This window comes from Homo sapiens, chromosome X (assembly GCF_000001405.40).
Source record: "Homo sapiens chromosome X, GRCh38.p14 Primary Assembly".
NCBI lineage: Eukaryota > Metazoa > Chordata > Mammalia > Primates > Hominidae > Homo > Homo sapiens.
Window position 1 is genome coordinate 17551061 of NC_000023.11, and position 25438 is coordinate 17576498.

General features: G+C 43.6%; 1 protein-coding gene and 2 long non-coding RNA genes across 4 annotated transcripts in view; 2 read left to right on the forward strand and 1 right to left on the reverse strand.

Annotated features, from left to right (window-relative positions):
* NHS (NHS actin remodeling regulator) overlaps positions 1-25438 on the forward strand; it is a 360795-nt gene that overhangs the window by 175861 nt on the left and 159496 nt on the right. The gene's annotated exons all lie outside the window — the stretch shown is intronic.
* LOC101928389 (uncharacterized) overlaps positions 1-25438 on the forward strand; it is a 58726-nt gene that overhangs the window by 22626 nt on the left and 10662 nt on the right. The window lies entirely within an intron of this gene.
* Positions 1289-8067, reverse strand: NHS-AS1 (NHS antisense RNA 1). The gene is made up of 3 exons (NR_046632.1): positions 8048-8067; positions 6138-6324; positions 1289-1464 (listed from the first exon to the last, which is right to left on the reverse strand). It is a non-coding gene; the product is annotated as an NHS antisense RNA 1 (long non-coding RNA).

Genomic DNA, 25438 nt, shown 5'->3' on the forward strand with positions numbered 1-25438 from the left:
CTTTCCTGACTGCTCTATTAAAAATTGTCACCTGCTAGGCTCTCTGAACCCCCCTTCCTCACTTAATTTTTCTCCATAGCGTGTATCGCCTTAACTATGTATTTTGTGTATGAGTTTTGTTTAGTATCCACCTCCCCCACTAGAGTGTAGGTTCCATGGGGGCAAAGGTTTTTGCCTTATTTAACACTGTACCTGCAGGTCCTAGAACAGTAGGAGCTCAATAAATGTTCCTACAAAGAATGAAGGGATCTGGACCAGAGAATGTCTTTCTGGATGACACCCAAATCATCACTCAAGTCCTGGTGCTTCAACTGAGGTGCAGAAGCCAAATTCTTTTTCAGCCTTGAAGACTAGAGTAAGCGGGATGGATTGTCTCTGGAACCTGCCCCCTTCCCCAGCAGTCTTGATGTTGATGGCTGCACCTAGGCTGGCCAAAGCTGCCGTGTCAGATCTTCCTCCCGTAAACACAGCACTTGAAACAAAAAGAATGGCCTGTTTCCATGGCATCTGTTAGAGCTCCTTGGTCTGGTAATACTTGTATTTAAAGCTTCATCATGGTGGGGTGCGGGGGGGCCCCTTGATGAAGCTGCCGGTCCCATAAATGGTAGCATGCAGCAGGTGCACAAGTGCAGAGAATCAAATGAAGGAGGGTGGCCTCTCAGCGTGCTTCCCTGATGTACCCCTCTCCTCCCTGTGCCTGTTCGTTGCCCTGCCTGCACCCTTTCACAGATGTTCCCTGCAGTAGACTGGGCCTGCCACACTGCAGCTGTGGGAGGAGGAGACCCTTGTAATCACTGCAGCCGTTCAATGCAGGGTGCTCCAAACAGCCGCCAGCACAGATCATATGGGTTTTCTGTTATAGTATTTAGATGCTATTTATAGAGTATCTGCTCTGTGCCAGGTGTTTTACACATATCTTTAGTCTTTACAAGAATCCTCCCAAAGAGGCATTATCATTCCTCTTTAAAGGGAGGAAACCGAGGCTCAGAGAGGTTACTAACTGGTCCAGGACCAATTAGGCAAGTAAGTAATGGAACTGAGTTTTACCAAGGTCTGGCTTTAAAGATCACACTACCTCCATGGCTACCTTGCATCTTAATGCAGGTTTTGCACTACACAAGTCCAAAGGCATTCTGAATGGTGTCTCCCGGAGTGTGCAGTTTGCATAGCTGTACACAGCCAACCCTAACCATCTGCTGGGAATAGTATTTGGCTGAGGGATCAGTTATATCAGTTTGAAATGCATTCCACTGTAAGGAATAGAAAACCTGAACTCTCGGAGCAGGAGGGCATTAAACAAAATGGGGTTTTAGTTTTCTCACAGAGCACAAGGTCTAGAGATAGGAGGCTGTAGGGATTGGCTCAGCAGCTGAACAGTGCTGGGTTTGGTGACTCAGAAATTCTCTTGGCCTTTCCTCATGATTGCGAGATGGCTGCTATAGCTCCAAGCATCATGTCTGTGTTCTAGGGAGAAAGAAGATGAGGAAGGTGGCGTTAGTCACATCTGTTCCCTTTTTATCAAGAAAGTTAAACTTTCCCAGACTTCCATCCGGGATCTTTGAAAATTTGAATTTCAAGGCTTTAAGGGAGAGGGGGTGGGGAAAGAACTCTAGGCTAGTGCCTGCCACCCCAGTATTATCCGAAGAATCGGAAGGCAGAGCGATGCTCAGATATGGGTTGTGGCCTCCCTGAAATAGAGAGGAATTCTAGATCCTTCATGTTCAAAGCATCAGCGTCATCCAGGAGCTGTGAGAAATGCAGAATCTCAGGCCCCAGCCCAGACCTACTGGATTTGAGTCTGCATTTTGGCACAGTCCCCAGGTGATCCACGTGCACATTAGTGCTTGAGAAGCACTGTTTCCAGAAATTGACTGATAACACAGGACTTCTTTACTTCCACCAAAGTTCTCACAGCTTTCAGCTCTTGGGCGACCAACTCATCCTGGTTTGCCCAGGACTATCCCAGAGATAGTGCTGACAGTCCCATGTCCTGGGAGACTCCCCAGTCCTGGGCAGACCACCCTATCACTCTTATCTGTGGGGGTCCTACCCTCCTCCTCCCACCAAACTAAGGCAGAGCCTATAACCAAGAGGCAGAAAGCCTAGAAAACTTCCTTTGAGGAGTCAGGAAAGATAGATAGTGGTCTTTCCTTTGGGGTATGGAATTGAACAAGGCCTGAGCCAGGACTCACAAGAATAAGAACATGGCAAGGCCCTGCCCTCCCAGTGGGAGGTGTGGAGAGCTGGCAATGAGATGGTTAAGAGCCCTGAGGGCGTTTGATCCAGGTGGGTCTGAGGTATCATTACTGGACTTAATAATACATTAACAGCCAGCATGAATGGGTTTTGGATTAAGAACTTGGTAACAAAGCAGATTAACTCTTTCCTCACTTCTTTCTTTCATCCCTTCATGTTGCTTTCTTCCTTCTGCCAAGAAAATAGAAAAGAAATGCCCAAATCTCACACAGGAAGCATTTGTCATGAGTAGCACTGGTGACTCAAACTTATTTTTTAGCCCTGCCAGCCAAGAGCAACAGGAATGAACTCGAGTGATCTGATTTATTAGTGAAAAAAAACCAACTACAAACTTTTCCTGGCCTCATACCTCCTCCCAGACCTTCCCGTTCTGCCTCCCAGCTTCCTTCTTTCCTTATTCACGCCCTGGGCAGCCCATGTGGCTACCTGGAAACTCCTGTTTCGGGGGCGGGGTAGGGGGGCGGTGCTTGGGAGACTGCTTTCTCAGGCCTCAAGCTCCATTAACAAATATTTGCAATGGGCCTACTGGAGTTGGAAAGAGAAGACAGAGCCTGGCTATGGATGCCTGGGTGTCTGGGAGCCACTTGACAAGTAACACAGCACAACACAACAGAACTTCTGTGTGCCACCTACAGAATGGGGGCAAGACATTCTAGAACAGTGGGGACAACTTCCTTAAGAACTACAATTTGCTCCTTCATTTTGGCCATTCTGGTGGCTCAGCGGAGTTTTGGGAAAACTCTCCCACACTAAGGAGAAGAGCTAAGGAGCTAAGGAGAAGAGTGCCTTCCCCCAGGGCCTTTAGTCAGCTCTCTGCAGCGCAGCATGTCCATATTTGTCTCCCTCTTAACTACTGTGCAATTGTCTAAGAGATGTTTTGGATTCAAGGAAACTGTTGACCCAGGAGCCTTGCTGTAGACTTGGTGAGCTGCTCCAGACCCTTCTGCTGTCCGTAAGGACAGCTGTGAAGTGTCAGGGTGGAGTTCCTCATTGCAAGCTTCTGTGACTAAGTTTCGTCAGTGCCTTTCCTCAGAACACTGTGCAGAGACCTTTTAGACACTCCATATTATCATACACAGGCCAGAGCTGGAGGGGGGACACGGGTCATGAGGATGGTCAGGGATGAAAAGGTGATGATGACAAGGTCATCAAGGAAGATGTTCACGTTAGGCACCGTTTGCCAAAAACAGGCAAATAAGGGCAGTCCCTGCCTGGTCTCAGCTCTGGACTGTCAAAGCCTTCTGGGCCAGCCAGGTTTAAGTCAGCTCCTTCAACGGCTGGAGGTCTGTGAGTTTAAACAACAGCATGTTATGCAGAACAAGGAACTGTGTCGTGGTTGGCCCAACAGGACCATTCTAGTAGGAGCCATTGTTCACTGACCCGTATATGTTGAGACGCGTGTCTGTCTGTTGTCCCAACCAAATGATTCTTTATTGTACTGTATTTGTCTCCAAGAGTGTGAAGCCCAACTGGAAGACTCATGTTTATTTTGCAGTACTGTCAGGAATGGCTGTTTTCTTTTTTTTCTTTTTTTTTCTTTTTTAAAATTATACTTTAAGTTCTGGGATACATGTGCAGAATGTGCAGGTTTGTTACATAGCTATACATGTGCCATGGTGGTTTGCTGCACCCATCAACCCGTCATCTACGTTAAGCTATTTCTCCTAACGCTATCCCTCCCCTTCCCCTCCACTCCCCAACAGGCCCTGGTGTGTGATGTTCCCCTCCCTGTGTCCATGTGTTCTCATTGAGAAACAGCTGTTTTCTAAGGGACAGTGGCCATGTTTACAACTACAGTGACCGTTAATCTTTGAGTTAGAAGAATCTTCCTTTCAGGGAGTTCATTGTGTTGATGCTGAGGGGGACTGTGTGAGGGCTGTTCAGGAAGTGGGGTGGGGCTGGCAGCGGGTTATTTTTTTTTTTTTTTTCAAACCTTGGTTTGGATTTGTTTCCCATTCAGTAGTTTATCTGTCCCCTCACTAGACTGCAGTGATGATTTGAGCTCCAAGGCTGTGAATCTCTGTTGCGTGTGGCTGACTACCTAAAGCAGGGCTTCTCACAGTGGAGAATGCATAGCATCATCTGGAAAGCTTGACAGTGCCCAGATGCTGTGCCCTACTCTCAGGGATTCAGATTCCATAGGTCTGGAGTGGGGCCCAAGAATTGGCATTTCTCACAGGCTCCTAGATGGGGCTGATGCTGCTGGTCTGGGGACACACTCTGAGTAGCAGTGGGTCAAAAGAGGTGCCAAGTGCTGTTCCTCTCTCTAGCTCCTGCTTAGCACAGGTTGCATATGTTAGGATAAGAGGAAATCAGTGTGATCTCTACCTTTCCTTTTGAGCCTAGCTCTTAATTTCCACTCTTCCAATCCTCACTGATGGGGGAAGTTAAGATACCATCTTGGAGTGTGAAGCAGGAATCCTAGGTCCTAAGGGATTTGCCTGGATTGCCCCATACTCCCTCCTCCACCCACCCCCAGGAGGTTTTGGGGGCCTAGGAATTCCTGCTGGCACTGCAGTAGCAGGCGGCTTGCATCTGGAGTTACACCCTTCAAAGGTCTCTGGAGGAACAGGAACAAACCGGAGAGAAAATTACATTTGAAATAATTTATTTTCACATGCAGGGGAGAAATCACATTTGGTCTAGATTCATGTAAAGAAAACAGAGATTAGATTTTTTAAAATGTGTTGCTGGCAAGAGAGAAGAGCAGACGGGTTTGGATAAAATACACATTCTGTTGAAACTGGCCTTCAATCCCAGACTACATTTAAAGGGGTTTTGAGTTAGCCTATGGAGGGGAATCAAGTCTGGATTTTATTTTCAATTGTTTCTTTCTTTTGAAATACTTCCTAGGTTGGGACTGGGAGTGACAGAAACATCTGGACTGCAGGAAAGATTGTTCCTAGAATTCTGAGCTTTTTCTATCTGAGCAGGCTGATTTAGAAGTCTTATCCAAGATGAGAGAAGATTTTCTCTTGGAATTTCTGGCCAAAGCCAGAAGAAACAGGAGTCTGGGGAAGGCAAGGAGGGCAAGCTGGAGCAAGAAGCGAAGGCTGCACAGACCACGCAAATGGCCATGCCAGGAGGGCTCCTCTATAGAGCCTTAGTGTGGAAAAGGGTCAATGTCAGGTTTAAGTCCATCACAAAGATGATTAAAGAAACAACCACAGCAAGAGCTGATGCTTACTGGGTACTCACCATGTACCTGGCTGTATGTTCATCATCATATGAAATCCTTACTTAGCTCTATAAAGTAGTTACTAGCATCATCTCCACTTTATAGATGAAGAAAATGGAGAGAAGTTAAGTAATTTTCCCAAAGCTGTACTGGTAGGAAGTGGCAGCGTTGAGCTCTACAGCCAGGGCTGTCTGACTCAGATGCCCATTCCAAGAATCAGTTTAGATAATGATATAATAATTACCATCAGTAGCATTATCATTGTCAGTAAAGGGCCGTTGTTTGTGTGTATGAAAATCGGTTAGGTTGGATCATATGAAAGAGCTATTTTTGTAGGCAAAAAATGGCTGAACATTGGCAATTTCATATGACTTAACAAAATATCGTACCTTATGATTGGTGGGAGGAGGGATAAATTGTGTTGTAACTAAAAAATGGACTACTATACAGGAATGAAAGTTGACTGGCTTAAAACATGGATATATATATATATCTATATATATATAACGTACTGTTGAGGAAAATATCTCATTGCAGAAAGATACATGAAATATAATACCATTTATATATAGATAGGTAAATATATACAAAGCTATTTGTTGTTAAGGGGGATTTTGTGTGTGTGTGTGTGTGTGTGTGTGTGTGTGTGTGTGTGTGTATTCAAGCTTTCTCTAAAGACAGAGAAGACCCCTCTGATGGTTACCTTGGCAGTCCAGATGTGTGAGAGAGTTCAAATACCCTCCAAGAGCCATCCACTTAATGATGAGAGTCAGGGTGTAAATATCCCAGCTCCTTTGCCTCTGGGAGAATATTTAGTGACAGAGATTCTGTGATATATATATATATATATATATCTTGCATTTCAATTTCAGTCTGGTTCCAGAGAGCATCTGGAGAGGAAGGAGGGGAAAGTGATGAAGGTAGAATACAAGGAAGGGGCTTTAAGTATCTTTGTAATTTGTTTTTTTCTAAGGCTGCATGCTACATGGGCCATACACAAGTATTCACCAGGTTATTCTTTATACCTTTTTGCATTAGTTGTCTATCACTGCATAACCAATCACCCCAGAGCTTATCAGCTTAAAACAACACATATTTACGATCTCACAGTCTCTGTGGGCCAGGAGTTTGGGCACAGTCTAACTGGGTCCTCTGCTCCGGCTCTCACCGGCAGCATTAAGGTGTCAGCTGGGACTGTAGCATCTCAAGGCTCAACTGGGGTGGATTTGCTTGCAAGCTTGCTCATATAGCTGTTGGCAGGCCTCAGAAGGTCCACTTCGAAGTTTACACACATGGTTGTTGGCAGGATTTGGATTCTCATGGGCCATTGGACCAAGGCCTCAGTTCTTCACTGGGTGTTGCCCAAAGGCCTCCCTTAGTTTGTTGCAATGTGTCCCACCTCATAGGGCAACTCACAACCTGGCAGCCAGATTTATCAGGGTGAGGGTTTTGAGAGAGAGAGAATAGTCACAATATTTTATAACCTACTTACAAAAGTGACATCCCATCACTTTTGCTGTATTTTGTTCATTGGAAGTCAGTCACTAGGTACAGCCGACACTCAAGTGGAGGGATTTACACAACAACATGAATACCAGGAAGCAGGGATCATTGGGGGAGCCCTTAGAGGCTTGCCTAGTACAATATGTCTGAAATATCTTACAATAAATTTTTAAGAGAAAAAACATATTTAAAGGTGAATTAGAACTGATTCCTGGCGTTACAAACTCCTTAATCCTCAGTGGCAGCAGCCACATTTCTGGCTGCTACTAAATCTTTCCTGTGCCTCCTGCCCCCATCTCATTCTCCACAATGTACATCATAATCAATGACAAAATTAATTAAGGATATTTTCTCATTACTAGATTTAGAGAGATGTCAGTATCATATCAAAAGTGCTTTTATTTCTTCAACTATACCTTTGTGGAGTCAATGGTAACAGTACCTTTCAGAAGTCTGTTTTCCAAGAGTGCCCGTTGGCTAGAGTCGTAAAGAAGGCATTGTGGAACAGTAAGACGTACATGGGCTTCGTAGCCACAGAGCTAAGTTCTGACCCCTGCTCCACCTGTTACCAGCTGTGTGATTTGCTGACAGATACTTACAGTCTTAAAAAGCTAGTCTTCTGATCTGTCAAATGAGAGGAATGGTACCTATCTCAAAGCTTCCTGGAGGATTAAATATACAAGAAAACATGTGCTAGTCCTAGGGCAGTGATCAGCACAAAGTAGGCACCTGACAAGGTGAGGAAAGTTTCCTCCAGGTCTCTTACCTTCCAAAATGCTATGTACCCCTTCATGAGCAGGCTGTGCAAATTGTTTTGAAGGGTGACAGTTTTGGGATGCCATGAAAAGAATGGATCTTCATAATTTCTCATTTGACCCCAAGATTAATTTCCTATTATAAACTTAAAGTTTCATGCATTCATTGATTCATTTTTACATTCATATACACATTCATTCAACAAATAGAATTTCTTAAAGAAAGTAAAGACCAATCTTCTTCAAAACTCTAATGCCTTTTTATCTCCCAGGGGTGGATAGGATAATCCAAGTTATATATAAGCAGTTTCTCATGTCCAGGGTAGCAAAAGCATCAGATGTGGTGCAAATCTACCTGTTTTCTATGTGGCTCCCTGAGAGGGCTGTTCCATCAAGGGAAGATGCTCCAATGTATGCTAGCCTTTGAGATTTTGGCTTAGTAGAGGAGAGGAGCTAGTGCCTAGAAGGAAATACAACACCATGAGATAGAGGTCCATGTAAACATGTTCTTTGTGGAGGCCTGCCTGCCACTAGGATACACACCATCCCCACTGGTTGATTTACTGCTACATACTGGCCTTTGCATCCAAGAAAGATTGTAGTACTTGACTTCAGAGATCTTTAAGCAGAGGCTTGATTCAAGCCTCCTGAGTCAGCTGAGATGAGGCAGGGTGCTTTTAGCTGGAACCTGGGCTAAGGCATTGGCCTCCGTGCACCCCCATTGAAGAAAAAAAGTAGAGCAAAAATCCATACTGTTTATTTATGAATTATATGCACGTGTTGCTGTATTAATAAGTTACTTACTGTAACAGTTTCTAGGCCCCTGCCCATATCCCTAACCTTTCACATTTAGAGGAAGCCTTCTTTTGATAGCCAACTGCCAGATTCTTCATCTCTTTGCCTGCAGTCTTTCTCTAAAGATGGAGAAGACCCCTCTGCTGGCTCCCTGGGCAGTCCAGACATGCAAGGGAATTCAGACACCTCCCAAGAGCCCTCATCCACTTAATAATGGGAACCAAGGTGTAAATATCCCAGCTCCCTTGCCCCCGGGAGAATACTTAATAGCGGACATTCTGTGCTTCTTTTGCAGCTTCTCCCTGTGAGACTAAGCTCCAGTTACTCGCTAACTCTCTCTTTATTGACTTCCTTCTCTTCCCTGTTTTACTTCCCCATCGCCCTATCAGGGTTCCCTGCAGCTCTGAAGTAAACTCTTTACCCTGGAATCCTTGTATCTGAGTCTGCTAGAAAAACCCAATTTATATTTAAAAAAACATAAAAACAGACCGTTTAACAGTACATAAATATACATACATATACACATAGTCTAATGTTTTTCCTTACCCCTAGAGTGCACACTCTGCATTTTGAAGGCCGCTTGTTTAAGGAACTTAGAGGCTCCCATTTCAGTCTTGTAATCTGATATCTCGAGGTTGATATCAGAGCCAGCCCTCTCTCCTTTGGGCTGCCTGCTTCCAAGCCCTGTTTAACTTACTCAGGGTGGCTTGGCATACTTTCACGTTGATTCATGGTAGTGATTTCTGGGTCACAGGCTAGCCAACTGGAAGGAGATCTTCAGGATTGGATTTCCTGCACTCCTCTATTTGAAAGAATAATTTCTGTATCTTGGACTTCCAATGAGGAAAACAAAAACAAAAACAAAAACCTGCAAGTTCAGAGTTGGACAAAAGTTTCTCCACAGGCACTTTACCCCACTTTGGGACCTCATAGTTTCTCTCAGTTCAGCTCTCTGTGTATGGGAGACCAGGCAACAGGTACATCATTGCCACCTTGAATCATCCTGCTATTACATGATGGGCAGCCCCATGAGATCGGGATGGTATGAATATTCTGACTTGTTGTCATCTTTAACCCCAGCACATGGTTCAGCACTATGTGGACATATAAACACACTTCAAACAGCCTTTTGCTAGAAAACAGACTCTACTGGCCCCAGCATAAAGATTTGCAAGAACCGAATGCTCCCTTATTTTCTCTCTGCCTGGAACAAAGCCTCCTATTGTTTTTCAGGTGATCACATTCTTTAGACATTCAAGTTTAAGTTGTTCCTCAACAACTGAATTCAAAGCTAGAGGCTTACTCTGCTGGCTGTGCCTGCACAAGCAAACGGTCCCACCCAAAGGCCCTTTTCTCCAGGGCCTCCCAGTGGCCTTTAAATTATTTTGGTCTTCAACATCACAGTCTCCCAGAATGCTTATCAGAGGATAATGTCACCCCCTTTCATGCCTGCCCACCATTTCTACTCAAAAGCCACTCCTATTTCTCTACAGATAGCTCATTCTCTCAGAAACGAACCTACAGCAAATTAATGTCCAGTGAGGCCTGGCTTGTAGGGAAAGTCTTGGGTATCCCTATGCTCTTCCAGACTGGCCATCCAGGACATAAGGTCCATGAGCTTAATCTTGTTCTAAGTTCCCTCGAATTTCCCATTGACTCTATTTTCCTTGGCTGAATAGATGTTGTTGCTCTGTAATAGTGAGAAACAGTATCTGTGGTGATGGAACAGGCAGAAATAAAAATATTTCCCTAGCTCTTTCCTCAGTTCTAATCCCTACAAGTCTTGCCCCTTACCTTTGCCAGATCATCCACTTGGGAGGATTCAGAGGTGCTATCTCCATTCCAGCGTCTGGGAAGGAGAAGAGGATTGACACAAGTTTCAATTTTGTATTAAAAAGTCCCGTCTTGTAGGGTTTTGAAGGGAGGAGGAAGAGCCAAGAGGAGTCTACGTCTATACTCCTCAAGCCACTGGATAGAGTTACTTTGAGTTCTTCACACATGCAAGTGCATGCGCGCGCGCGCGCGCGCACACACACACACACACACACACACACACACACACACACACACACATCATGCCTTCCCAAGGTACTGGCTTGGCTTGGCAGGAATGCTGGATTTGGGCTTGGAGAGCCGTCCACTGCTTGGTGCCCACTTTTAGAAAATAAAGAAGTGACCCAGGTTCATGGGTGAAGTTTTAATGAGAAATAAGTCACTGAAGCAGTCAGGGAATAAACCCCAAGAACAGAAATCATGATGCTAATCTCCCAAAATAGGGCAATAAAATGTTGAAAGGTCTTAAGGGGTTGTGAGAGGGAAGATTAGGGAACTGGGGCACGTTTGTCTAATCTTGGAGGATGATATGAGGGATCTAAATTCATATGTTGGTCATGAATAGACTCCTACTCCACATGAACCAAGGTTTGGTGTTTCTGGCTTTCATCTTCCCTAATATTTGTTCTCACCCTTTTCCTTAGTACGTGTGTATGTGTGTGTACTGTAGAAAAACCCTATGCTACTGTTCTGAAATTGTAGATTCTATAAATGGGTTGGGAATGACCATCTTAGGTTGGGTTCCTCAGAAGCAAACCCTAAAACAAGACCTCAAGTGTAAGCAGTTTATTTGAGAGGTGGTGGAAAAACTGGTAGGAAGAGAGGAGAAGGGGGTTAGGAAAGGCAATGAAGCCAAGGAAGGGTTATTAAGTGAATTGCTACTGTGAGTAACTGGAGCTGAATCCCAAGGGAGACTCTGGGAGGCTATGCATAAAACTCAGAGTTATCCCACCTGAGGGGTGAGGCAGCTGGGATATTTATACTCCCAACTACTAAGAATCATTTGTTGAGAGATGCTCCTGGAAGTTGCTAATTCCCCAGAATTTCAGGCCAAACCTGTGGGTATAGTGGCCTTCATCAGTTATGGGAAAAAGCCAGGCACAGAGACACAGGTAGGGGTCTTTGGAAGTCAGGTGCAGTGAACTGAGGTGAGAGGTATAAGGGAGATGGGGAGGGCACAGATGGTGGCTGCTATAATCACAAAGGGGTGGGTATGTAGATTGTTGGGGAGGAAGACTTTCTCATAGTTATGGTCTTGATAAATATTTCTATCCTTTAATAAAATATAATGGAAGTTTTGGAATAATAAACAAAGAATCTTTAAAGAAAGAGAGTTTTACAAAAACCAGAGGATAGTGGTGTGGGATCCAAAAATTAATTATACTATACATTTGAAATCTGTTCATTTCACTGAAAACAAATGTTACCTAAATTTTAAAAGAAGCAGGTATGAGATTCCAGATTGTAACATCTTTCAATAGAATCCTAAGCTCCTGCATATTGAGATATACTTGCCTGAATCCCTAAAATTCTGCCTGGGTTGTGGACCAATAGTTGAAGCATTTTCTCTAGAACTTCAGTCAGAAAATGTTGAAATGTGCTCTGGGTAGTGACTCCCCAACAAGAAAGCAGGCTCCTTCAGCTGCTTCTGTGCCATGGTTTGTGCCCACGCTGCCTTTTCTAGGTTTTCCTTGTGACCATGGCTTGCATTTTCTAAGAGAAATGGCTAGGGATTTCATGTCTAGGGCCACAGGACAAACATCTGCAATGCAGAAGAAACTGACAGAGCCTGTTCTTACTAACTTAACCTGTTTGGTCAAGCTAGCTGAGTCCATCTGCCATGCCTAAATAGGGAAATGATGATGAGATGATGTCCTAGGATGGGCACTAGGTCAGGACTGACCTCAATGCCTGGCACATAGGGGGCATTCAGTTAATGTTTAATGGGCTGAGCAGATTTGCTTCAGCTCACTGACATCACCTATGACTAGCCTCACCTGAGACCAGAACAGGGTGGAGGTGGGCGAAGCACCAATAATGTGGAGGCCAACGGCCCTTCTGTTCCTTCTTGAAGGACCCAGATATGGAGCTGATGAGGTGGGCCTTCACAGCAGAGGAGCTTTCTAATGACTTTTCAATTAATTGACTTGAAGCTGGTGGGGAGAGTGCCAGAGTCTGAAAAAGATGAAAGGTATTGAAGAGGAAAAGCTTTGATGTCACTGCAATCCCATTCAGATTTGGAAAGGTTTTTTCAGGAACTTTATATTTTAACCACAAAAGCCTCATAGGGTCGATCAGTCACGCAAGAAGATTTTTGTCATTCTCTGGGATTGGTGGGTGATGAGAGGTTGAATGGAAAGCCAGAAAGGAAGGGCTGTGTGTGGTTTCTGTGGGTGGCAAACGTATGTGATGGAGTGGGTGGACGGGTGGGGGAGGTGGAGAGGAAAGGTACACAAGGAGGGAATGGGGATATGTAGGTGTGAATTACATTTTCAGGGCAGTGCTATGCCTATTCTACAAAGTTTGGCATGGATATGTTTTTTCAACAGGTTTCGTTCTTTTAGACTCAGTGACTTCTTACTGTGTTTGTTCCTAAAGCTAATCTAATCTAGGTATAGTAACCAATATAACCTGGCCATTTATATACATGCCCACTCCCATACAGCATATTTATGCAAAATTTAAATAGTCAGAAAACTTACAGAAGTACAATTACCTCGCAGATCAATAATGAATACAATTTTAGAAGTAGACAGACCCGAAACAGCAATTGTGCTGTTTTCTGCTAATGGTAAGACCATGGAGGTTTGGATGTGAAACTGATCTCTCATCCACCTAGACCAGGTCTTGGCCTTGGTACTCATGACATTTAGGGCCAGGTAATTCTTTGTTATTGGGACTGTCCTTTGCATTGTAGAATGTTTAACAGCATCCCTGGCCTCTACCCACTAGATGCCAGTTGCACTGTTCCCTAGTTGTGTCAACCAGAACTGTTTCCAAACATTGCCAAGTAGCTCCTGGGGGACACGATCATTGCTGATTGAGAACCACTGGCCTAGATAGAAGCCTGGTGGGTCCAGCACTTATTGTACTGTCCTGTGCAATTTGGGGGTTTCAAATGATGACGCTTATATGGCTTCAGAATCATGTACAAACATTGAAATGGAATGATTCTGTGTGTGGTGTGCATGCTACAATTGGCAATGTTCAAATGCCAACCAGGCTATTTGTCTTACCAGGACGCTCCATTCTCTAACAGCTCTAAATGAGGTGTTTCTTTTTCAGAATGTGTTAGGTTAGAGCATGTCAAATTGCCATTTTTTTGTGTATGGCCCTAACGGTCAAATACCAGCAATTTCATAGATTTAATGGGAACACACCAACTTTAGGAGATATGTCCTGAGCACCTTCTGAAACTCCCCCAAATTGTGAATGTGGAAATGTTTGTTTAGGCTCATGACTCTGTCCTGTCACATTTCAAAGGCGAGTCCAGTGTTTCCACACGGAGCCTTGCACCACAAACTAACTGCATTGCAAAATTCCCCTCAAGATTTCTTTCTCATCCTGTGGCAAATTGGGTACAGCCACATTTTTTTTTATTTATTTTTTTTTTTTGCAGCAACTCCCATTAAGAGGTGGAGCCTATTTCTCCACCTCCATTGAATCTGGGCTGACTTTGTGACTTGCTTTGAGCAACAGAATGTGGCGGAAGTGGTGGTGTTCAAGTTTCAGAACCCAGATCTTTAAGAGGCCTTGTGGCGTCCACCTTGTAGTGTCCCTCTTGGCCACTATCCTGAGACTGCCCTGCCAGGAAGCTGGTGTAGCTCACTGGAGGATGAGTGGCCATGTGGAGGACTGCCAAGGCACCCTGCTAACGGCCAGCACCACTAACCAGGCGTGTAAGTAGGGCCATCTCAGATCTTCCAGTCTGCTGACCCTCCAGCCAAATCCAGTCAAATGAGTGAGTCCAGATAAGACCAGCAGAAACACCACCAAGTGTATGCACATAATCATGAGAAATCATAAATCATTGTTGTTTTAAGTTACTAGATTTTGGAATGGCTTGTTATGCAGCAGTAGATAACTCATAAACATCCAATGGCAGCTTTACAGTTTTTAACAATTTCTTAGAGTTTGACTTCAAATAGAGAGCAGTGAACCCATGCTCCCCTGGGCTGCTGGATGGTGGCTAGCATCTCACTAGCTGAATGCCTCATGCCTTCACACCAGCCTTGCAGTGGGCACCATTCAATCACATTTTTCAGGAAAACTGCTGATTTCTATATTTGGAGGCTACGAGAGAGGGCCAAAAAGTTATAAGTAAAAGCTACACTAGGCCAAGTGGCTGCTTTACTTAATGACCACCTGCACAGCATTCATATGTAGTAGACACCTCATATGTTCTGCCCATGAATATACGCCACATACAAATGTCACACATATACACCCATTGCCTACTGAGTTTAACCATGATCCATATCTTAGGCATGGTTATGTGACTGAAAATATCTTAAGCCTACATTTCCTACAATTATAGTTTGGAAGGGGATATTTCAAACCAAGAATTTCTTCACAAATGGTGAGCCGTAATTGACTTTCTGTCTTTTTTTTTTTTTTTTACAGGGTCTTGCTCTGTTGCCCAGGCTGGAGTGCAGTGGTGTGATCACGGCTCACTGCAGCCTCGACCACTCTGGGCTGAAGCAATTCTCCCACCTCAGTCTCCTGAATAGCTGGGACTACAGGTGCGTGCCACCACACCCAGCTAATTTTTAATTTTTTTTTTGTAGAGACGGAATTTCACCATATTGCCCAGGCTGTTCTCTAACTCCTGGGCTCAAGCGATCCTCCTGTCTCGGCCTCCCAAAGAGCTGGGATTACGGGCATGAGCCACCGTATACTGCCTGAGTTTCCATGTTAATCACTGAACATCTCTTTTGATCTTCAGCAGATGCCTTAGGAAGCCCTTTCTCTATTATGTAAGGAAAACTGTACTTAGCATTCTCACTGTAGTTAGAACTCACAATTCTTTGTGATTTCTTTAATGTTGCACACACCAGCTCCCACTGGACTTTACCTACGTGAGAAGAGAAATTCTGTCTGTCTCTTTGCTCACAGCATCCCCAGCTCATAGCGCAGGGTTTGGTCCCTGTTTGTTCCTCAGTAAATTTATGGACCAATGAACGAATGAGTAAATGAATGAATTATGGAAGCTGAGAGCCGAGAGAGACCTTGGAATTCATTGTCTTCCATCTCCTGCTCTGCTTTGTAAGATAAGACACTGAGATTCAGAGAGGATTAGCATTTGTTTGTTTTTTTTTTTTTTTATTCCAGGATTTTTTTCCTTTCAAAAGCCACTTGACACACTTGCTTATCTGATCCGTTACAGCTTGTGATTATGGAAGAGGAAACTGAGAATTCCTTCTTGGACTCAATGGGATGTACTGTGAACATCCCTGACATTGGGCTAGCCTCGTGCCATTCAGGGCAGGCTTCTGTCCACCCCATTTAACCTTGTGACTCATTGAGGGGCTGTCAGACCCACCCGGGCACTGAGCAGGCACCAGATATACCTCTCAGAGTTACATTATAATCACTATTCATCTGCCTGTCAAGCTGAGCCCTTTTCTGTGCTCCAGAATGTGAAAGCAAAATGGCCTTTTCCGTTATGAAGCTAATAATAGTTCTCATCTTGATTCTACTTAACACTGAACTGGAGATTTGGCCTCTAGGGTGAAGCTCATAGTTAATTCATTTATTTTAAAAATAATTACAGAAACCGTAAAAGATACATCCCAATTGGGCCCATGAGTGGTCTGATTCTCAGTGTTTCTCAGTAACCAGTTGTGTGCTGGGTGCTTGAAGAAATACGAATGTGGCAACTGCGTTTGAAGCCTTAGGCAGAAGGTGAAGCCGGAATGGAATTCCTCTGCAGTCACTCTGGTTAGGAGCAGCGATGTCCAGCCTCCTGGCACCCACTCACATCATTCTCTGTGATGACCTAAATGAGAAAGACAGTTGGCTTCCTTCCCCCTCAGCTCAGTCCCCCATGCAGACAAACAGGCTGCATCCCTGGCAGACTGCACCGGGGTTATGCGCTGTCTCATCCATTCGAGAATGATCTATAGCTTCAAAGGAAAAAATTAACAAACAAGCAAAGTCGACCCCTGTCTAGGAGGAAATGGATGGGTTTTGGGGCTTCCACCTCCCCTCCACGTATTGCCTATGCCCCTGAGCCCCAGGGAAAGAACAGCTAGTGAAGAAAAGAAGCTGTTTCTAGTTGTTTGTGGAGCAGGGAGAAGAAGAGAGAGGGGGAGGAAGAGAGAGAAAAGAAAAAGAGAGGAGGGAGAAGGAGAAGAAGAGAGAGAAAGAGAGAAGGAGAGAGGGAAACAGGCAAGAAAGAGGAAGAGAAAAAATATCTAGACAGAGGGGAGGAGGGAGGAAGAAGGGAGAAAGGGAAAAAGAAAGAGGGAGAGAAAAGATAGGGACTAGTTTAAAAGAGGGCAGAGGAGTGATTCAAGTAGTGATTTCAAAACGTGAATAAAGCTATTTAAAGTATCTTTTCCCTCCCCAATTTCACTTTGTCCTTCCAGATATAGTTGTAAGTAGCCCCTCCCCCACCACCCAGTCCTCTTGTCTAATTCTGAAATATATTGGAGACTTGGCAGCACAGGCCTCAGGCAATTCATCCTCAGAACCAGTAAATAAATTCAACCTTTCCATGGTATCTGGCTACAAACGTCAAAGAGAACAGTTCCCACCCTCCTGGCCTCTTGGTCAGCTAGCATGAAAGCCATGGACTTGTTGCTGGGCACATCAGAAACAGCTGTCCATGTCTCAGCCTTTCCACTTCCAGAGTGCCATCCAGGTGAGCTGTCCCATGTAGAAGGCAGCCCCAGAGAGGGCCTTCCCCTCCACGTGTGCTGGATGTGATGTTCATGCTAGCGCAATGAAGAACCCATATGGTTTGCCATATGTAAGATCACTATTCAGGGTAAAAACTAAGTGAGATAATCTATATCAAGCATATGGCACATAGTAAATGATCAGAAAATAGTAGTTACTATAATCTGATGGCATAATAATAGCCAATAAGTTTTTTTCTCTTTAGCAGTATGTGCTGGGAACTATTCTAAGTAAATCTTTTTTTTTTTTTTGTATTAATGAAACGAAAGTTTATTTCTTGCTCATACAAAAGTCTATTTCAGTCCAGACAACTCCACAGGGAAATTGTCCTTCATGTAATAGATCAGTATTCCAGGTTACTTAGTTATTATTATTATTATTATTATTATTATTATTATTATGCTTTAAGTTCTGTGTTACATGTGCAGAACATGCAGTTTTGTTACATAGGTATACAGGTGCCATGGTGGTTTGCTGCACCCATCAACCCATCACCTACATTAGGTATTTCTCCTGATGTTATCGCTCCCCTAGCCCCCCACCCCACAGAGGCCCCAGTGTGTGATGTTCCCCTCCCTGTGACCATGTGTTCTCATAGTTCAACTCCCACTTATGAGTGAGAAAATGCGGTGTTTGGTTTTCTGACCTTGTGATAGTTTGCTGAGAATGATGGTTTCCAGCTTCATCCATGTCCCTTCAAAGGACAGGAACTCATCCTTTTTCATGGCTGCATATTATTCCATGGTGTATATGTGCCACATTTTCTTAATCCAGTCTATCATTGATGGAAATTTGGGTTGGTTCCAAGTCTTTGCTATTGTGAATAGTGCTGCAATAAACATACGTGTGCATGTGTCTTTATAGTAGAATGATTTGTAATCCTTTGAGTATATGCCCAGTAATGGGATTGCTGGGTCAAATGGTATTTCTAGTTCTAGATCCTTGAGGAATCGCCACACTGTCTTTCACAATGGTTGAACTAATTTACACTCCCACCAACAGTGTAAAAGTGTTCCTATTTCTCCACATCCTCTCCAGCACCTGTTGTTTCCTGACTTTTTAATGATCGCCATTCTAAAACTGGTGTGAGATGGTATCTCATTGTGGTTTTGATTTGCATTTCTCTGATGGCCAGTGATGATGAGCATTTTTTCATGTGTCTGTTGGCTGCATAAATGTCTTCTTTTGAGAAGTGTCTGTTCATATCCTTTGCCCATTTTTTGATGGGGTTGTTTGCTTTTTTCTTGTAAATTTGTTTAAGTTCTTTGTAGATTCTGGATATTAGCCCTTTGTCAGATGAATACATTGCAAAAATGTTCTCCCACTCTCTAGGTTGCCTGTTCACTCTGATGATAGTTTCTTTTGCTGGGCAGAAGCTCTTTAGTTTAATTAGATCCCATTTGTCAATTTTGGCTTTTGTTGCCATTGCTTTTGGTGTTTTAGACATGAAGTCCTTGCCCGTGCCTATGTCCTGAATGGTATTGCCCAGGTTTTCTTCTAGGATTAAAATGGTACTAGGTCTTACATTTAAGTCTTTGATCCATCTTGAGTTGATTTTTGTATAAGGTGTAAGGAAGGGGTCTAGTTTCAGTTTTCTGCATATGACTAGCCAGTTTTCCCAACACCTTTTATTAAATAGGGAATCATTTCCCCATTGCTTGTGTGTGTCAGGTTTGTCAAAGATCAGATGGTGGTACATGTATGGTGTTATTTCTGAGGCCTCTGTTCTGTTCCATTGGTCTATATATCTGTTTTGGTACCAGTAGCATGCTGTTTTGGTTACTGTGGCCTTGTAGCATACTTTGAAGTCAGGTAGCATGATGCCTCCAGCTTTGTTCTTCTTGCCCAGGATTGTCTTGGCTATGTGGGCTCTTTTTTGGTTCCATATGAACTTTAAAGTAGTTTTTTTCCAATTCTGTGAAGAAAGTCAGTGGTAGCTTGATGGGGATAAAATTGAATCTATAAATTACTTTGAGCAGTAAGGCCGTTTTCACAATATTGATTCTTCCTATCCATGAGCATGAAATGTTTTTCCATTGTTTGTGTCCTCTTTTATTTCCTTGAGCAGTGGTTTGTAGTTCTCATTGAAGACGTCCTTCACATTCCTTGTAAGTTGTATTCCTAGGTATTTTATTCTCTTTATAGCAATTGTGAATGGGAATTCACTCATGATTTGGCTCTCTGTTTGTCTGTTATTGGTGTATAGGAATGCTTGTGATTTTTGCACATTGATTTTGTATCCTGAGACTTTGCTGAAGTTGCTTATCAGCTTAAGGAGATTTTGGGCTGAGATGATGGGGTTTTCTAAATATACAATCATGTCATCTGCAAACAGAGACAATCTGACTTCCTCTCTTCCTATCTGAATACCCTTTATTGCTTTCTCTTGCCTGATTGCCCTGGCCAGAACTTCCAATACTATGTTGAATAGGAGCGGTGAGAGAGGGCATCCTTGTCTTGTGCTGGTTTTCAAAGGGAATGCTTCCAGTTTTTGCCCGTTCAGCATGATATTGGCTGTGGGTTTGTCATAAATAGCTCTTATTATGTTGAGATACATTCCACTGATACCTAGTTTACTGAGAGTTTTTACCATGAAAGGCTGATGAATTTTGTCGAAGGCCTTTTCTGAATCTATTGAGATAATCATGTGGTTTTTGTCATTGGTTCTGTTTATGTGACGGATTGCATTTATTGATTTGCATATGTTGAACCAGCCTTGCATCCCAGGGGTGAAGCCAACTTGATTGTGGTGGATAAGCTTTTTGATGCGCTGCTGGATTTGGTTTGCCAGTATTTTATTGAGGATTTTCCCATTGATGTTCATCGGGGATACTGGCCTAAAATTCTCTTTTTTGTTGTGTCTCCATCAGGCTTTGGTATCAGGATGATGCTGGCCTCATAAAATGAGTTAGGGAGGATTCCCTCTTTTTCTGTTGTTTGGAATAGTTTCAGAAGGAATGGCACCAGCTCCTCTTTGTACCTCTGGTAGAATTCGGCTGTGAATCCATCTGGTCCTGTATTTGTTTTGATTGGTAGGCTAGTAATTATTGCCTCAATTTCAGAACCTGTTATTGGTCTATTCAGAGATTCAACTTCTTCCTGGTTTAGTCTTGAGAGGGTGTATGTGTACAGGAATTTATCAATTTCTTCCAGATTTTCTAGTTTATTTGTGTAGAGGTGTTTATAGTATTGTCTGATGGTAGTTTGTATTTCTGTGGGATTGGTGGTGGTATCCCCTTTATCATTTTTTATTGCATCTATTTGATTCTTCTCTCTTTTCTTTATTAGTCTTGCTAGTGGTCTATCTGTTTTGTTGATCTTTTCAAAAAACCAGCTCCTGGATTCATTGATTTTTTGAAGGGGTTTTTGTGTCTCTATCTCCTTCAGTTCTGCTCTGATCTTAGTTATTTCTTGTCTTCTGCTAGCTTTTGAATGTGTTTGCTCTTGCTTCTCTAGTTCTTTTAATTGTGATGTTAGGGTGTTGATTTTAGATCATTCCTGCTTTCTCTTGTGGGCATTTAGTGCTATAAATTTTCCTCTACACACTGCTTAAATGTGTCCCAGAGGTTCTGGTACATTGTGTCTTTGTTCTTATTGGTTTCAAAGAACATCTTTATTTCTGCCTTGATTTCGTTATGTACCCAGTAGTCATTCAGGAGCAGGTTGTTCAGTTTCCATGTAGTTGTGTAGTTTTGAGTGAGTTTCTTAATCCTGAGTTCTAGTTCGATTGCACTGTGGTCTGAGAGACATTTTGTTGTGATTTCTGTTCTTTTACATTTGCTGAGGAGTGTTTTACTTCCAATTATGTGGTCAATTTTGGAATAAGTGTGATGTGTTGCTGAGAAGAATGTGTATTCTGTTGATTTGGGGTGGAGAGTTCTGTAGATGTCTATTAGGTCTGCTTGGTGCAGAGCTGAGTTCAAGTCCTGGATATCCTTGTTAACCTCCTGTCTTGTTGATCTGTCTAATATTGACAGTGGGGTGTTAAAGTCTCCCATTATTATTGTGTGGGAGTCTAAGTCTCTTTGTAGATCTCTAAGGACTTGCTTTATGAATCTTGGTGCTCCTGTATTGGGTGCATATATATTTAGGATAGTTAGCTCTTCTTGTTGAATTGATCCCTTTACCATTATATAATGGCCTTCTTTGTCTCTTTTGATCTTTATTTTAAAGTCTGTTTTATCAGAGACCAGGACTGCAACCCCTGCTTTTTTTTTTTTTTTTTTTTTTGCTTTCCATTTGCTTCATAGGTCTTCCTCCATCCCTTTATTTTGAGCCTTTGTGTGTCTTTGCATGTGAGATGGGTCTCCTGAATACAGCACACTGATGGGTCTTGGCTCTTTATCCAATTTGCCAGTCTGTGTCTTTTAATTGGGGGCATTTAGCCCGTTTACATTTAAGGTTAATATTGTTATGTGTGAATTTGATCCTGTCGCTATGATGCTAGCTGGTTATTTCACCCATTAGTTGATGCAGTTTCTTCATAGCGTCAATGGTCTTTGCAATTTGGCATGTTTTTGCAGTGGCTGGTACCGGTTGCTCCTTTCCATGTTTAGTGCTTCCTTCAGGAGCTCTTGTAAGGAAGGCCTGGTGGTGACAAAATCTCTCAGCATTTGCTTCTCTGTAAAGTATTTTATTTCTCCGTCACTTATGAAGCTTAGTTTGGCTGGATATGAAATTCTGGGTTGAAAATTCTTTTCTTTAGGAATGTTGAATATCGGCCCCCACTCTCTTCTGGCTTGTAGCATTTCTGCAGAGAGATCAGCTGTTAGTCTGATGGGCTTCCCTTTGTGGGTAACCCGACCTTTCTCTGGCTGCCCTTAATATTTTTTCCTTCATTTCAACCTTGGTGAATCTGACAATTATGTGTCTTGGGGTTGCTCTTCTCGAAGAGTGTCTTTGTCGTGTTCTCTGTTATTTACTGAATTTGAATGTTGGCCTGCCTTGCTAGGTTGGGGAAATTCTCCTGGATAATATCCTGAAGAGTGTTTTCTAACTTGGTTCCATTCTCCCCATCACTTTCAGGTACACCAATCAAAGGTAGATTTGGTGTTTTCACATAGTCCAATATTTCTTGGAAGCTTTGTTCATTTCTTTTCACTCTTTTTTCTGTAATCTTGTCTTCTCACTTTATTTCATTAATTTGATCTTCAATCACTGATATCCTTTCTTCTGCTTGATCGAGTCAGCTATTGAAGCTTATGTATGCTTCACGAAGTTCTCGTAATGTGGTTTTCAGCTCCATCAGATCATTTAAGCTCTTCTCTACACTGTTTATTCTAGTTAGCCATTCATCTAACCTTTTTTCAAGGTTTTTAGCTTCCTTGCAATGGGTTAGAACATGCTCCTTCAGCTCGGAAAAGTTTATTACCGACCTTCTGAAGCCTACTTCTGTCAACTCGTCAAACTCATTCTCCATCCAGTTTTGTTCCCTTGCTGGCGAGGAGTTGTGTTCCTTTGGAGGAGAAGCAGCATTCTGGTTTTTGGAATTTTCAGCCTTTCTGCTCTGGTTTCTCCCCATCTTTGTGGTTTTATCTAACTTTGGTCTTTGATGTTGGTGACCTACGGATGGGGTTTTGGTGTGGATGTCCTTTTTGTTGATGTTGATGCTATTCCTTTCTGTTTGTTAGTTTTTCTTCTAACAGACAGGCCTCTCAGCTGCAGGTCTGTTGGAGTTGGCTGGAGGTCCACTCCAGACCCTGTTTGCCTGGGTTTCACCAGCAGAAGCTGCAGAACAGTAAATACTGCTGCCCGATCCTTCCTCTGGAAGCTTCATTCCAGAGGGGCACCTGCCTATATGAGGTGTCTGTTGGCCTCTACTGGGAGGTGTCTCCCAGTCATGCTACACAGGGGTCAGGGACCCACTTGAGGCAGTCTGTCCATCATTAGAGCTCGAACGCCATGCTGGGAGAACCACTGCTCTCTTCAGAGCTGTCAGGCAGGGACGTTTAAGTCTGGAGAAGCTGTCTGCTGCCTTTTGTTCAGATATGCCCTGCCCCCAGAGGTGGAATCTAGAGAGACAGTCGGCCTTGCTGAGCTGCGGTGGGCTCTGCCCAGTTCGAGCTTCCCTGCCACTTTGTTTACACTGTGAGCATAGAACCATCTACTCAAGCCTCAGCCATGGTGGACTCCCCTCCCCCCACCAAGCTCCAGTGTCCCAGGTCTATCTCAGAATGCTGTGCTAGCAGCGAGCAAGGCTCCATGGGCATGGGACCCACCGAGCCAGACAGGAAGGAATCTCCTGGTCTGCTGGTTGCAAAGACAATGAGAAAAGCGCAGTATTTGGGCTGAAGTGTACCGCTCCTCCAGGTACAGTCACTCATGGCTTCCCTTGGCTAGGAGAGGGAAATCCCCCGACCCCTTGTGCTTCCTAGGTGAGGCGACACCCCATCCTGCTTCGGCTCACCCTCCATGGGCTGCACCCACTGTCCAACCAGTCCCAATGAGATGAACCAGCTACCTCAGTTGGAAATGCAGAAATCACCCGTCTTCTGCATCGATCTCGCTGGGAGCTGTAGATTGGAGCTGTTCCCATTTGGCCATCTTGGAACCAACCTCCCTGTTCTAAATACATCTTAAATCAATCCTATGATGTAGGTGCTGTTACCATTATAGATGGGGAAACTGAGGCACAGAATGGCTCCAGTTCCTAGGACCTAGACATGAGGGTCTGTTTTAACATGATGATATTGATCCTTCATGAGCAGAGACAGTGACAATGAAGGGAGAAGAGAATTCAGTAACATCCGCTGCCTCCTCTTCATCTCTGGCACCACTGCCTAAAACTACTACGTACTCCTACCTGGACCATAGCAGCTGCCTCCTTCCTGGCCTCCCTACGTCCACTAGTGTTTGCTGCAGTCCATTCTGCACACAACCATCAAAGTGATCCTTTAACTCATGGGTCACACACTGGCGTGCCCCTTTATAAACTCCTCCTTTCCTTCCCACTGCACTTAGGATGAAATCCAAGCTCCTGGCCATGGCCTGCAAGGCCCTGCATGACCTGGCAAGCTGTTCCCACCGGTCCAGCTTCATGCTGGGCCATACTCCCTTGGCACACTGGCCCATCACCAGTTTTTAAAATACATCACCAGTTTTTAAAATACATCACCAGTTTTTAAAATACATGCAAGCTCTTTCCTGCCTCAGAGCATTCATACCTGCTGTTTCCTCTGCTATTTTTCCCATCACTTCATCCTCCAGAACTCTGCTTAATGTTACCTCCTCATACTTGAGTATCCCTCCCCCTCCTCCATGTTTTCTGTATCTCAACACACTCATTATATCCTTCATCAATCTTCTCACAATTTATTAATAGAAGTCTTTTCATTTATTTGAGTAGGTCCTTGATTTCTCTTTACTTCCCCCACTAAACTGTAAGCTCCATGAAAGCAATAACCATGTCTACATTGTTTGCTGTTGTACCTCCAGCACTCAGCACAATGCTCCTCTCATGGTAGGTGTGCAATCAATATTTATTGACACACAAATGGCTCATGTATCTGGCATGTCTAGGATGTCTATTTGGAAGCATGAAGGGTTATGGCTGGGGCTCAGCTCCTCTGACTTCTCTCACTGCCCCAAATCTTCTTTATACCCCCTTGCCTGCCATTGTGTGCCCCAGACACGAGCAAAGGCCTGTCTCATTCCAGAGAGTGGTACCCTCCTTGGAATTTCAACACAAAGAGGCCACAGATCTGTTGCATAGCAAGAAAAGATAGTGTCTGTTGCAATTGGTTCTCTTGGCCTTGTGGCAGGATGCAGAGTGAAAAATAGAGGGATATTAGAAGTTCAATAGTTCTCTCGATGTCTAGAGTATCCAGGGAATGTTATTCCCTGAATAGCACTTATAGAATACCTAATATGTTATTCTCTCACTATCCTCAGCCACCCAAAATAGTTGAATCTCTGACTCACAGATAATCAGTCATGTATATATTCACCCTCCAATAATTTAATATTACAGAAAGTGAACCAGAATTCAGCTTTGCACCTTTGGAAGTTAATTTCTTCTTTGTATGATTACTAGAGATATTCTCTGATAAGGGTAACGAGATGTATAGATTTGGTCTCTTCCCACCTTGCTGACATTCCTTGAATTTTTCTCAGGAAGACTGATCCAAGGCAAATCACATTTTTTCTCATCACCCCACCTTTGTCCTGGCCAAAGGGTGAACTATGGGAAGATCTCATGGGTGGTGTTCTAAACAAC